This window comes from Homo sapiens, chromosome 15 (genome assembly GCF_000001405.40).
Source record: "Homo sapiens chromosome 15, GRCh38.p14 Primary Assembly".
Lineage (NCBI taxonomy): Eukaryota > Metazoa > Chordata > Mammalia > Primates > Hominidae > Homo > Homo sapiens.
This window is the reverse complement of record NC_000015.10, coordinates 80653873-80667860: the sequence shown is the minus strand read 5'-3', so window position 1 is coordinate 80667860 and position 13988 is coordinate 80653873. Positions and strand designations below refer to the sequence as shown.

At 41.7% G+C, this 13988-nt stretch overlaps 1 pseudogene, besides 1 other annotated feature; it reads right to left on the bottom strand.

Annotated features, from left to right (window-relative positions):
• Window positions 3983–4089, bottom strand: RNU6-380P (RNA, U6 small nuclear 380, pseudogene; annotated as a pseudogene).
• Window positions 13219–13720: an enhancer, noted in NCBI's record as "NANOG hESC enhancer chr15:80946482-80946983 (GRCh37/hg19 assembly coordinates)". NCBI's record gives its function as "activates a minimal SCP1, AML or CMV promoter by ChIP-STARR-seq in naive H9 embryonic stem cells {active_cell/tissue: H9 hESC(naive)}" and the evidence as "EXISTENCE:reporter gene assay evidence [ECO:0000049][PMID:30033119]".

The window sequence follows — 13988 nt, the reverse complement described above, 5'->3', positions numbered from 1 at the left end:
TTATGGCATGTGACCCCAGTCACCAGCTGGCAGTTCTAAAAGAGAATGGGTCCTCCATTGTACCTCAGGCTCTTGGCAAATCCATCTGAGTGTGAAATAACTAGAAAAGTTTTTCTCTGACCTGAATAGATGAGAAAAAAATATGAAAAATCAGGGATGAGGATTACACTCTCAAGGTCAACAATTCCTAAGTCAATAACCAGGACTCCAGTGTTTACAATACTGACATTACCTTTTCTTTTTTCTTTTTCTTTTTCTTTTCTTTTCTTTTTTTTTTTTCAAGACGGAGTTTCTCTCTTGTTGCCCAGACTGGAGTGCAATGGCGTGATCTCCATTCACTGCAACCTCTGCCTCCCAGGTTCAAGCGATTCTCCTCTGGGAATCCTCAGCCTCCCACATAGCTGGGATTACAGGCACCTGCCACCACACCTAATTTTTTTTTTTTTTTTTTTTTTTTTTTGTATTTTTAGCAGAGATGGGGTTTCACCAGTTGGTCAGGCTGGTCTTGAACTCCTGACCTCAGGCGATCCACCTGCCTCGGACTCCCAAATTGCTGGGATTACAGGGACATTACCTTTTCTTGAAATGTTAACAAAGGCCAGATGCGGTGGCTCACGCCTGTAATCTCAGCACTTTGTAAGGCAGAGAGGCAAGAGGATTGCTTGAGCCCAGGAGTTTGGGACCAGCCTGGGTGACATAGTGGTGTCCTGCCTTTAAAAAAATAATTAAAATTAAAAAAAAGTAGATGTCTCCATTCTTCTTTCATATCTTGATGTTAGCCACATTCCTAAATAATACCCCATAATAAGACTATTATGTTTTTAATTTGACAGATTAAACCTCCAGATCACAGATTTATTATTTTATTATTATTATTTTTTTGAGACAGAGTCTCCATCTGTCGCCCAGGCTGGAGTGCAGTGGTGCGATCTAGGCTCACTGCAAGCTCCGCCTCCCGGGTTCACGCCATTCTCCTGCCTCAGCCTCCCCAGCAGCTGGGACTACAGGCGCGAGCCACCATGCTCGACTAATTTTTTTGTATTTTTAAGCGTTAGCCAGGATGATCTCGATCTCCTGACCTTGTGATCCGCCCGCCTCGGCCTTCCAAAGTGCTGGGATTACAGGCTTGAGCCACCGCGCCCAGGGATTACAGATTTATTTATTTAAAACTTCCAGATTACAAATTTATTTTTAAAATGTTGCTGTGGAATGAGTACAGAAGGGATTGATGTAAAAATATGTGTGTACTCTGCAGTTTCCTTCTGTACCTTTTCACAGATTTGGTGTGGTTTTTTATTTGTTTGTTTTGTTTTGTTTGCTTTTTGAGACAGGGTCTCACTCCATCATCCAGGCTGGAGCATAGTGGTGCAATCTTGGCTCACTGCAGTCTCAACCTCTCGGACTCAAGTGATCCCCCCACCTCAGCCTCCTGAGTAGCTGGGACTACAGGCACACACACCACACCCAGCTAATTTTTTGTATTTTTGTAGAGACAGGGCCTTGCTCTGTTGCCCAGGCTGGTCTCAAACTCTTGGGCTCAAGCAATCGGCTTGCCTCGCCCTCTCAAAGTGCTGGGATTACAGGTGTGAGCCACCACACCCGGCCTTTCACACATTTATGTCTAGATGAATGATTTCATTCTTGGGCCTCTCCCTGGATAATCTCAACTTCTAAATCTTGAATACCTACCCACCTCTTTTCCCACGTCTTCAGTCTGTAATTCCACCTGCCTCCTAGGCATCTCCACTCCAATGAGCTGCAGGCCCCTTCTACTTATTATGGCTGAAATGGAGCTCAGCTCAAACCCCCACCTCATCTACCGGAGCCCTCCTCCCATGCTCCCAGCTCAGCGAATGGCACTCCCCAGAAAGCCAGAGCTAGATATGTTGGTGTTATCTTTGATTCCTTCTTTTTTTTCACCCTCTATTTCCAGTTGGTCTGGGTCTTGCTAATTTTAATCCTGACTATAATTGAATCCATCCCTACCTTAATCCAAGCTACAATTCTTTTTTATTTTTATTTATTTATTTATTTTTTTGAGATAGGGTTTCACTCTGTTGCCCAGGCTGGAGAGCAGTGGTGTGATCGTGGCTCACTGAAGCTTGAACATCCTGGGCTCAGGTGATACTCCCACCCCAGCCTCCTGAGTAGCTGGGACTACAAGGAAGCACCACCACGGCTGGCTAATTTTTTGTATTTTTAGTAGAGATGGGGTTTTCATGTTGTCCAGGCTGGTCTTGAACTCCTGGACTCAAGCAATCTGCCTGCCTCACCCTCCCAGAGTGCTGGGATTACAGGCGAGAGCCGCCTGCCCAGCCTCAAGCCACAATTCTTTCGTGCATAGATTGCTGTCTTAGCTTCTAGGCTCTGCCTCAATTCTTGTTCCCCATAAAATGTGTTCATGTCCCGTTCCTGCTTCAGATCCTTTAATGACATGCCCTTGACATTAAGATAAGGTCTAAATTCCATTATGTGGCCCCTGCATCCTTTCTTGTCTCTCTAACTTTATCTCTAGCCATTTCCCACCTCATCAGAACCTTCTCTCAGTCCCTTAAACAGGCCATACTCTCTTCCCTTACCCCCCATTAGACTCCACAAGGACAGGAAGGATAGTTGCCTTGATTATCATCACATTCCTAGGGCCCAATGCAGCATCTGGCCCTTGACATATGGCCATGGTCTGTGAGTCTTTGGTGCATTGCAGTTTCCCTTCTAACTGGTCATTATAAAAAATGTACTTTTATTTTGTAAAAATAAAATAAAATAAAACAGCATCTTGCTTTGTTGCCCAGGCTAAAGTGCAGTGGCGTGATCGTAGCTCACTGCAGCCTCAGACTTCTGGGCTCGAGCGATCTTCCTCCCTCAGCCTCTCAAGTAGCTGCGACTACAGGAGCTCGTCACTATGCCCTGCTGTGTGTGTGTGTGTGTGTGTGTGTGTGTGTGTGTGTGAGAGAGAGATGGGGTCTTGTTATGTTGCCCAGGCTAGTCTTGAACTCCTGGCCTCTTCATGATATCCTCCCACCATGGCCTCCCAAAGCACTGGGATTACAGGCATGAGCCACCTCTCCTGGCTTAAAGATGTATTTGTAAGGTTTTGTTTTGTTTTTGTTTTTGCCACAGGGTCTCACTCTGTCACCCAGACTGGAGTACAGTGGTGCAATCTTGGTTCACTGCAGCCTCAACTTCCCAGGCTCAAGTGATACTCCCATCTCAGCCCCCTGAGTAGGTGGGGCTACAGGTGCCCACCACCATGCCTGCCTCAGCCTCCCAAAGTGCTGGGATTACAGGCATGAGCCACCTTGCCTGACTTATAGAAGTATTTTAATTCCCATATTCCTCTCTTGAATTCCTATCAGACGAAGTAACCTTATCCTCCTAAGACTGTTTGTACTATACTATATTATATCTCACGTCCACATTATTACCAGTGAAATACACGTTATTATGTAGGCAGTGGAGGTTGCACATATCATTTACAAAATAAGGCTCTTCCTGTAGAAGTCACACCTGTCTTCCATAGCAACTGGTTTCACAAGTCTATCTAGGTGTTTGTCTCCTCCTCTAATTTCAATCTAAAGCCCTTCTGATCTGGACGCCCTATCTCCAGGACACGAATATTAATCTTGACCCTCTTGAGGGACATTCCTTCCCTAGTCATGTGTCAGTTTGCTGTTTCACAGAATGTTGATGTTTCGTGTTGTTGAAGTGTTCCAATATTTGGAGACCCCGATCGTCAGAAATTTCTTCTTTATGTCTAACAAATTGCTCCTGCTTTAATTTTGAAATGGGCACTCCAGGAAGGGAGAGTTCCACACATCTCCCTGATCCCCAGCTCCCACCCCCCACCCCCCATAATCTTACAGTGAAGAATAGAGATCCATGAAGCCCATTCCTTCTTTCATGGCACCCTGCCCTGGAGTCTGATTCTCCCATGTTTACAGAACAACACCAATCATGGGTGACTTGGACACTCCATTTTATGTTTTTATTTTTATTTTTCACAAATTTGTGTATCATACTCATGCAGGGTCCATGCTAATCTTCTCTGTATCATTCCAATTTTTGTATATGTGCTGCTGAAGTGAGCACTATTTTATTCTTTTTAAATCTAATGAGATAAGGTTTATTTTGTTTCCTCGTGTAATTTCAAAAGAATTACTAGTTTATCAAATTTTAAGCAACATATTGTTAGGAAAATAATGTGAAAAGTGTCTTTCTCTTTGCCACATCAAATAAGAAGAAGGGATAGATTTTTTAAAAATCAATAACTTCTGAAAACTTACAGAGGAAAGTCTGAACAAATTCACTTTAGATGACGAAGTCTTTGAAGAATGAGGGGACTGCTCTCAAGATGACAGTGTGAAGAACATGATATAAATGGATGAAATGGAATTCCAGAGAGGTTCCTTTTCTGTGATCCTTCACTATTCTTACCTTGCCAATCTGTAGCCCTGAATAAACACAAGCAGGCCAGGTGCAGTGGCTCACTCCTGTAATCCCTCCCAGCACTTAGGAATGAGGAAGTGGGAGGATCGCTTGAGCCCAGGAGTTCGAGACCAGTGTGAACAACATGTAAAACCCATGTCTCTATAAAACATATTAATGAAAAAAATTAGCTGGCCATGGTGGCGTACACCTGTGGTCCCAGCTACTTGGAAGGCTGAGATGGGAGGAGGATCACCTGAGCCTAGGAGGTTGACACTGAAGTGAGCCGTGATTATACCACTGCACTTCAGCCTGGGTGACAGAGCAACACCCTATCTCAAAATAAATAAAAACACAAACACCTGTCTCCTTTGTTCTTCATCATGGGCTGCTGTGCTTGGCTGTGGAAATTGGTATCTCATTGCACAACATCAGCCGTGCCTTCAATATTGCTCACGAGTCTTCTTACTCATGAGACTTCCTTGTTGATGTCCTGTTCCCAATCAGACCACACCTGTTATCATACACAATTCTGGAGCCACATATACAGAGAGATTGAGACAAGCTGAAGCATGTGCAGAAGCTTAGAAATTCAACCTGTGCCTTGTGAGCAGTTCTTGAAAGAATGTTTGATGTTTAGTTTGAAGAACAGGAGAGCTGATTTCTGAAGTCCAATAGTCATTCAGGAGGTTCCAAGAACTAGAACTTGGACTAATTGGCAAGAATTGCAGAGAGAAGGATTCAAGGGTCAGTACAAGGAGGGACCTTACAAAAGTTCTCCAAAAATAGAATGGGCTCCCTCAGGAGAGAGTTCCCTTCACTGGAGCTGATTATGTCAAAGTCTAATCTGTCACAGGTGGCTGAACTAGAATGCTGGGATCCCTTGTAACCAAGAGGGCCCATTATTCTGTGTTGTAGCTTTCAAATTTATTTTTTAAATGTTTTTTTGTTGCATTATGTACAAGAGATACATCATGATGATTAAAATTGGGCTTTTGCCAGGGAGGAGGATAAGAAGGCAAAAAAAAAAAAAAAAAAGGATAATTACTGCATGGCATTAGAAGTGCCATACTAAAAGGTCGTCTAAGAGCACAAAAGAGGAAGTGACTACTGAAGAAGTCAGAGGCTTTTCATGAAGGAGGTGAGTTTTAAGCCCAATCTTGTAGAATTGAGCCAATGTGTCCATAATCAAGAAGGAGCAAGTACAGTCATTTTGGAAAATAATGTGGAGGTTCCTCAAAAAACCAAAAATAGAATTACCATATGACTCAGCAACTCTGTTTCTGGGTATATATCCAAAGGAATTGGAATTGGAACATCTAAGACATCTGCACACCTCTGTTTATTTCAGCATTATTCACAACAGCCAAGATAGGAAGCAACCTAACTGTTTAGCAGTGGATGAATGAATAAAGAAAATGTGGTATATACACACGCAATGGAATACTATATACAACCTTTAAAAAACAAGGAATGTCTGTCATTTGAGACAACACAAATGGAATCAGAGGACATCATGTTAAGTGAAATGAGCCTGGCACAGAAAAACAAATAATGTATCATCTCACTTATATGTGGAATCTAAAAAAGTTCAATCACATGCAAATGGAGAGTAGAAAGAAGGGTGGGTACCAGAGGCTTCACAGAGAAGGAGGGATAGAGAAAGGGGAGTTGTTAGTCAAAGGGTACAAACTTTCATTTAGACTACAGATAAGAAATAACATAGTGATCTACTGAATTGCATGGTGACTATAGTTAATAACAACATATATTTCAGGACCAGGCACGGTAGCTCATACCTGTAATCCCAGCACTTTGAGAGGCCAATGTGGGTGGATTGCTTGAGCTCAGGAGTTCAAGACCAGCCTGGACAGCATGGTGAAACTCCACCTCTGCCAAATATACCACAAATTAGCCAGGCATGGTGGCACATGACTTTGGTCCCAGCTACTTGGGAGGCTGAGGTGAGAGGATCACTTGAGCCTGGGAGACCAAGGCTGCAGTGAGCTGAGATCGTACCACTGCACTCCAGTCTGGGTCTCAGAGTGAGACCTCATGTCAAAAAACAAAAAAAAAAAAGTCAAATAAAATAAAAAAAATATTAAAAAAGAAATAATAATGTATATTTCAAAACTGCTAAAAGTATAGATGTTTAATATTCTCACCACAAAAAAGTGATAAGTTGGTAAAGTGATTGATATGTTAATGAGCTAGATTAATCTCTACAATGCATACATTGGAGATCAAAGCATTACATTGTACTCCACAAAAATACACAATTACTTGTTAATTATAACTAATAAATTAGTAGAAGGAAGAGCCATAAGCAAAAGTACAGGAGAATTAGATGTGCATGTTGTGTGTAGCCTAATGAATATAAATGGCTTTAAATGACACTGCACCTTTGCTTTCCAACAAAAGTTAAACTTTCATTTCCCCTGATTCAATCAGCAGACTTTTACTGAGCACTTATACTGTATACGATATTGGGAGGTGAGAAGCTTTAAAGCTTTAAAAGTAATCTAAGACCCGATTTTTAACAACCTTATAAGAGCTTAAGCTCATGATGCCTTATGTTTGTTATGAGACCACAAGAAATTCTTGAAGACTTGAAGCCCAGGGATGAAAAGATTAAATAGGTGTTGTAGAAAGTTGTGATGTCTTGTATGAGGTGGTGCGGACTTCAGAGCCCTTGAGGTTAGGAGACTTCTGACCTGGTGTAGCGAAGCTGGAAATAGGGAGGAAGGGATGGAGTCAATAATTATTTCAGAAGTAGATATGACAAAACTGAAATATGGGAATGGTGAGGAAGCAGGATCAGTTGAACATGACTCAGAAATTTCTGGTTAGAGTACTGAGTGGAAGATGAAAACATTGCAGGAACACGAGATGATGAAGAGTCTGATTTTAAATGTGTCAATTTAGAGGTGCCCAGGGACATCCAGTTGGGACAATCTGATGATTCTCAGAAATATGGGCCTAGAGCCCAGGAGAGAGAAATGGAGGCTGATAATAACAAGGTGGAGTCACTGTAAATCAATCATCTCTGCCCTGGATGCCTTCCCTCCTTTCCTCTGGAAATAGAGCCTCCTTTATTCCAGGAACAGCTCCTCTATCCTACCTCACAGTCCCCACCATGAGGCTCTCTTTGGAACTGCCAAGTTCCTCCATCACCACATTCCCTGGCCACTGTTGCCTGATCCAGAGGCAGGTGTCTGACTCAAGAGAAGCTAAGTATGATTGCTTCATGGGGATGTTTTTAAAATTTAAACATCCAGCATGTACAAAAGTCTACAGAATAGCATAATGTTCAGTGTGTTGTCCTGGGTCTTAAAAAAACAAACAAACAGAATAGCATAACAGACTCCCATCTGTGTAATACCCAGCTTCAACAATGATTCATTGACCTATCTTGGTTCAGCCATACATCCATCTTTTTCCTCCGTCGTCATATTATTTTGAAGCAGTTACCAAAAATCTGGGATTTCACTCTCTGGTATTGGAAGGTGTAGGATGTAAATAGACAGGAGTGGTTTGCAGCCATGCTTCTCTCATGTTGAAAAAGCCAGTCTAAAGGAAGAAAAGATGAAACTGACATAAAGAAAAAAATAGGAAGAAAGAGTTCTGGAAGCTTTTGAGTCTGTGGTTCCCAATGTTCCAGAGTCCTCTCCACAGTTTGATTGTTCACATCTGTAGATTCTCTGAGCCCAAAATCTTCCTTCCAGCTTTAACTAGGTTGAGTAGGATATCAGTCCCTTACTACCAGGCATTCTGACTAATACATATCAGTATTCACCTAATGATTGAAGCCATCCTGGGAGGTCGTTCTCTCTTGTAAAAACAGCTTCCCTCCCCTCTGAATGTCCAAATCCTTTAACACAAAGGTCACCTCCTTCATGGCAATTTCCCTAATCCTAGTAGCAGGAAGTGGCCTCTCCTATTCCTGAATCACAGGGCACCTTATCTACACACCCTCATGGTGTGCCCTGTGTTCTCTTATTTTACAGCCATTTGGGTGCATGTGCTAGCTTTTTGCTACAAACTGTAAGCCTCTTGAAAACATACAAAAAGACTTGAAGTGGTTTTTTTTTTTATTTCTCATCTCACCTCTCAACATCATATACAGTATAAGTTCTTGGTAAAAGTCTGCTGATTGAATGAGGGGGAAAAAGTTGAACTTTTGTTGTTAAATAAAGGTGCATTTAAAGGTTGAGAGAAATGCATGGAAAGAGATTCAGGGCAATTTCCCTAGTCTTCTTACATCAATTCTGTGCAATAGAAAGGGAGTGTATAATAATCATTCAGAAATACAGTCATAATAAAACCAAGAAAGCAGCACCCTAATTATATAATATTAATTTAATGAAAACATAATGGCTACCAATATGAAACCATGGTTACTGCCTTTTTCAATAAACTCCATAATGAAAATGTACTGGACTATATTTTATTTCACCTAAAAGGAGTATGCTATGCTTTAGAGTTCTCAAGCTTTATCATGCACTGGAATCATCTGGAAGATCCTGTTAAAAGGTAGGTTCTGATTCAGTAGGTCTGGGGTGGGTTTGAGAAGATGGCTTTCTGACAAGGCGAGCTCCCCAGTGATGCTGATACTATGAGTCCATGGGCCACACTTTGAGGAACAAGAATGTATACCAGTGATTCCCAAAAGTGGCTGCCCAGTGACGCCATCACGGAGCTTCAGAAACTAATGACGCCTGTGTCCCACCCCAGATCTTGTGATTTAATTCATCTAGGGTGTGGCTAGACTTTGGAAATTTTAAAGATCTCCAAGTGATTTGAATATACAGACAAGTTTGGGAATTACTGCTCTGTTCATTACAGAATTAGACTCTGAATGGCCAGATCTGGGTTCCACCTCTGCTACTTTCAGACTGGCTGGGTTATCTTGGGAAAATCAGTTCATATCTCTGATCTTCAGTTTCTGATCTCCAACAGGGAGGTCATAAATCCATTGATCACATTTTCAAGAAACAAACTAGAGAAGGTGTAGGGGGATTTTTGTAGCCTCTAAAGTTCTGCGTGGATATGAAGAATTACTGGGAATGAGTCTGGATCAGAACTCTCCAATATGATAGCCGCTAGCCACATTCAACTATTAAGCTCTTGAAAGGTGGCTAGGATAAAATGTGGAAAATATTTAAGCCAGGCGTGGTGGCTCATGTCTGTAGTCCCAGCTACTCAGGAGGCTAAGATGGGAGGTTCTCTTGAGTCCAGGAATTCAAGGCTACAGTGAGCAATGACTGCCCCACAGCACGCCAGCCTGGGAGGCAGAGCAAGACTCCTGTCTCTAAAAAAATTTAAAAATAAAGGGGAAAAAAGAAAACATTTTAGATATCTTGGATTAAATATATTAAAATTGGCCAGGCACGGTGGCTCACACCTGTAATCGCAGCACTTTGGGAGGCCAAGGCGGGTAGATCGCCTGAGGTCAGGAGTTTGAGACCAGCCTGGCCAACATGGTAAAGCCCCATCTTTACTAAAAATACAAAAATTAGTAGGACACGGTGGCACGCACCTGTAGTCCCAGCTACAAGGGAGGCTGAGGCTGGGTAATCCCTTGAACTTGGGAGGTGGAGGTTGCAGTGAGCCAAGATTGCACCACTGCACTCCAGCCTGGGTGACAGAGTAAGACTCCTTCCCCAAAAAAAAAAAAAAAAATTAAAATTGACTTCACCTCTTTCCCTCTCCCTATTTATTTACTTAGTTTTTTTCAATCCTGCTCCTTCTGTAAGTTTTTGTTTGTTTGTTTGTTTGTTTAAGAGACAGGGCCTTGCTCTGTCACCCAGGCTGGAGTGCAGTGGTGTGATATTGGCTCACTGCAGCCTCAATTTCCTGGGCTTAAGCGATACCCTACCCTAGCCTTCTGAGTAGCTGGGACTACAGACACATGCCTGAACACCTGGCTGCCTGGCTTCCACCTGTTTGTTTGTTTGTTTGTTTGTTTGTTTGTTTTTGCAATGTGGCTATTAGCAAATGTAAACTTATATATGTGGCTCACCTTGTGTTTCTATTCAACAGTGCTGGCCTAGACTTTTTAAAGAAATGGCAGATGGCAAAAAAATTAACTTTACATTCCCAACTGCTAACACAGGAATTCTAAGTTCCTCCTAAATCCAATACAAATAAATGTTGAAAAGAATATCCTAGATGAATGAGCTATTTCAATGTGCTGTCAGTCATTAAACGGAAACATTCTTAGGATCAGGGTGGGATACACATAATATTACATACCTGGAGGTAGAGCTCAAAGGAAAGGTACACTCTATTTACAAAGGAGAAAAGAGATGGGCCATCACTGAAAACAGATGTTGTATGGAAAAAAAAAATACTAGTTTTGAGGCGGGGGGGAACAGCAAAAAAAGAGCAATCAGGAACTAATGTCTCCACCTCTCATTTTCTTGCCCATGTGCCTCCCGAGCCTTATCACAGTCCCACAAGAGAGACTGAATTCCAATGGCTGGGACTTCTTGGCCAGAGCCCAGAGCAGTAGAGAATTCTGATCTAGATTCGGGATGTGATACAACCAGCCTTGCCACTTGCAGCATGTGATTGCTTGTATTAGTGCATTTTCATGCTGCTGATAAAGACATACCCAAGACTAGGGCAATTTTACAAAAGAAAGAGGTTTAATGGACTCACAGTTCCACATGGCTGGGGAGGCCTCACAATCATGGCAGAAGGTGAAAGGCATGTCTCACATGGTGGCAGACAAGAGAAGAGAATGAGAGCCAAGTGAAAGGGGTTTCCCCTTATAAAACCATCAGATCTCATGAGACTTATTCACTACCATAAGAGCAGTATGAGGGAAACTGCCCCCATGATTCAATGATCTCCCACTGGGTCCCTCCTACAACACATGGGAATTATGGGAGCTACAATTCAAGATGAGATTTGGGTGGGGACCCAGCCAAACCATATCACTGCTGTAATTAATCCACTGTACCAGAGGATTTCATAGTAGGTAAGGACACTTTGTGAGGTAGGGGGGTCCAGCACAGCGCCCCAGGGTTCTGGAGCAAGGCCATGCCATTTGCAGCAGAGAATTCGTCACCATTTGAGAAGCAGATCCTGTGTGCTACAGGGTCCCATTTGAGACCATGCATCAGGGTTTGGACACTGGCACACCCTCCAAGTCATTAGGTAGGACGGGCACAACAGCAGTGCACAATGAAAATAGTTCATTTGCAATCTGGCCTGGATGGGTCTGGAGGGCACAAGTAAGTTCTATAAACAGGACATCTACTAGGCCAAGCGCGGTGGCTCACACTTGTAATCCTAGCACTTTAGGAGGCTGAGGCAGGAGGATTGCTTGAGGCCAGGAGTTCAGAGCCAGCCTGGGCAACATAGTGAGATTTCATCTCTACAAAAAATAAAAATAAAAAAATTAGCCAGGTGTGGTGGTGTGCACCTGCAGTCCCAGCTACTTGGGAAACTGAGGTGAGCGGATCACTTGAGCCCAGGAGTTCAAAGCTGCAGTGGGCTGTGATTGTGCCACTGTACTCCAGCCTGAGTGCCAGAGCAAGAACCTGTATAGATATATGTATATATATATATATATATATATATACACACACACATATTATATATATGTGTATATATATATACACACACATATTATATATATGTATATATATCCATATATTATATATATGTGTGTGTATATATATATCCATACAGCTCTTTAATTCATCATAATTTATTTAAGCAATCTATCCATTTGGGGACATTTGTCTTGTTTGAATTGCTGGTTATTTAAATTATTCCATGCTTAATTTCTATTCTATGCTTATAGGTTTAAAAAATGGTAACTAGTTGTTTTATTCTGCCTTTATTTAAACTTTTTTCTTATGATTTTTGCCATTTGTATTTTTTAATTAAATATCCTGTTTATTCCTTCTGTTCATATTTCTACTGGAAAAGATCAAAATTCATCTGCATAATCTTAAAAATCAAAAATTACTATAATGGCTTTAACTACGTTATTTACTTCTGTTGCACCAAGGCAATTGCTCACACCATGACCTCCTGGGGAAGGTTCCCCACAACCTCTGATAGAGGAGGGAAAAATCCAAAACTGGATCATGAATCAGTCAGCTCAATATGTTGGTTCAAGCCAAAGATGGACTGCCGCCACTATTGTCCCACTCAGGAGTGGCCCTGAAAACAGTCATAAGGGAATAGATAGCCTCTCAGTGGACAGAGCTTCTGAAGGTGCACCTGGTCATCAACTTGATATGGAGGGAAAAGAAAAGAAAATATACTAAGGAAATGGAACAGGCTTGCCACGTGGTGTTGGTTACCTGTTTCGTTTGTGGTTATGAAGTCTAAGCTGAACCAGTCACCCAGGTTCTGCACCTTTTCTCTGGTGACAGTCAGATAATTGGAAGCAAGTACAAAGAAATCTAAAAGTTGCATTCAACCAGGGTTGGAGTTCTGCCAGGCAAATATGATAAGGGGAAAAAGGCACAGGGGAGATGAAGGCATTTTAAGGAACTGATTGTAATGATGAGAAATGAAGACACGAGGGAAGTAATGGGATATTGAAAATTTAATGTGGAAAAGAAGGAGGGGAAATCAATGGATTTAGTCTAATAATTGTTGAAGTGGGGTATTAGAGAAAGTAAGCTCGGAAGAGAGAAAGATGTTTGAAAGGAAGTTTTCAGAAAAGGTGAATTTACCAGGGGTACTTGGTCTAGAGTATGGCAATGGGAAGAGGGGATTGTGCTAGGGTAGAGGGAAGGAGGTTAAGGAATTGAAGGGCTAAGGGAGTGAAGAGTTAGAGACTGAAATCATCAAGAATTAAAGCCCACATGAGGTTAGAGAGGAAGACAGCAAGCCAGTAGGCCAATTCAATTCCTTCATGAATACAGGAGAGACCAGGAAATCAGCTGGTGACTGCAGCGGGTAGGTGCCAGGTCAGATAGCTGGAAGGAATGAGTTGGAAGCAGCTGAGTGTTGTGAGGGAAGGAGGAAAGCTGGAGTGGCTTGGAGGGGACAATGGAGATCAAAGAAGGTAACTTGATCTCTTCTTCTGGCCCTCATCAGCCAAAACAATCTAAATTCAACAGTGGGGTTTGATTTAAACAGCAAAGAGTTTATTGCTGGACATAGGTAGTAACCTTCTGAGCTATGTATTATCCCCATCTTACAGATGTTAAAACAGTGACATCTCTTTACTCCTGTCCACAAAGTGGAAACAAAGCCAAATAAGCAAAGCAGGTATAATTAGTGTAAAATAAATTGATAATTTTAAGTAAGAAAAAACTTTTCATGCACAAAAAATACAAGACTTTTGGTGTTGATGGGAGAAGAGTTCTTGTTATAAAAACATTATATCTTCATTATAATATGTAAGTACAGATAAGCAAAAGAACAAAAAGAAAACTCATAATCCCACTCTGTAATGTTAACTCTCACTAACACATTAACATATATTATTTAGATCACACATGTATATATATATATATATGCATATATGTTCAAATAATTCTATTTCTGCCAAGATAAGATCATATCCATACAGCTCTTTAATTCATCAT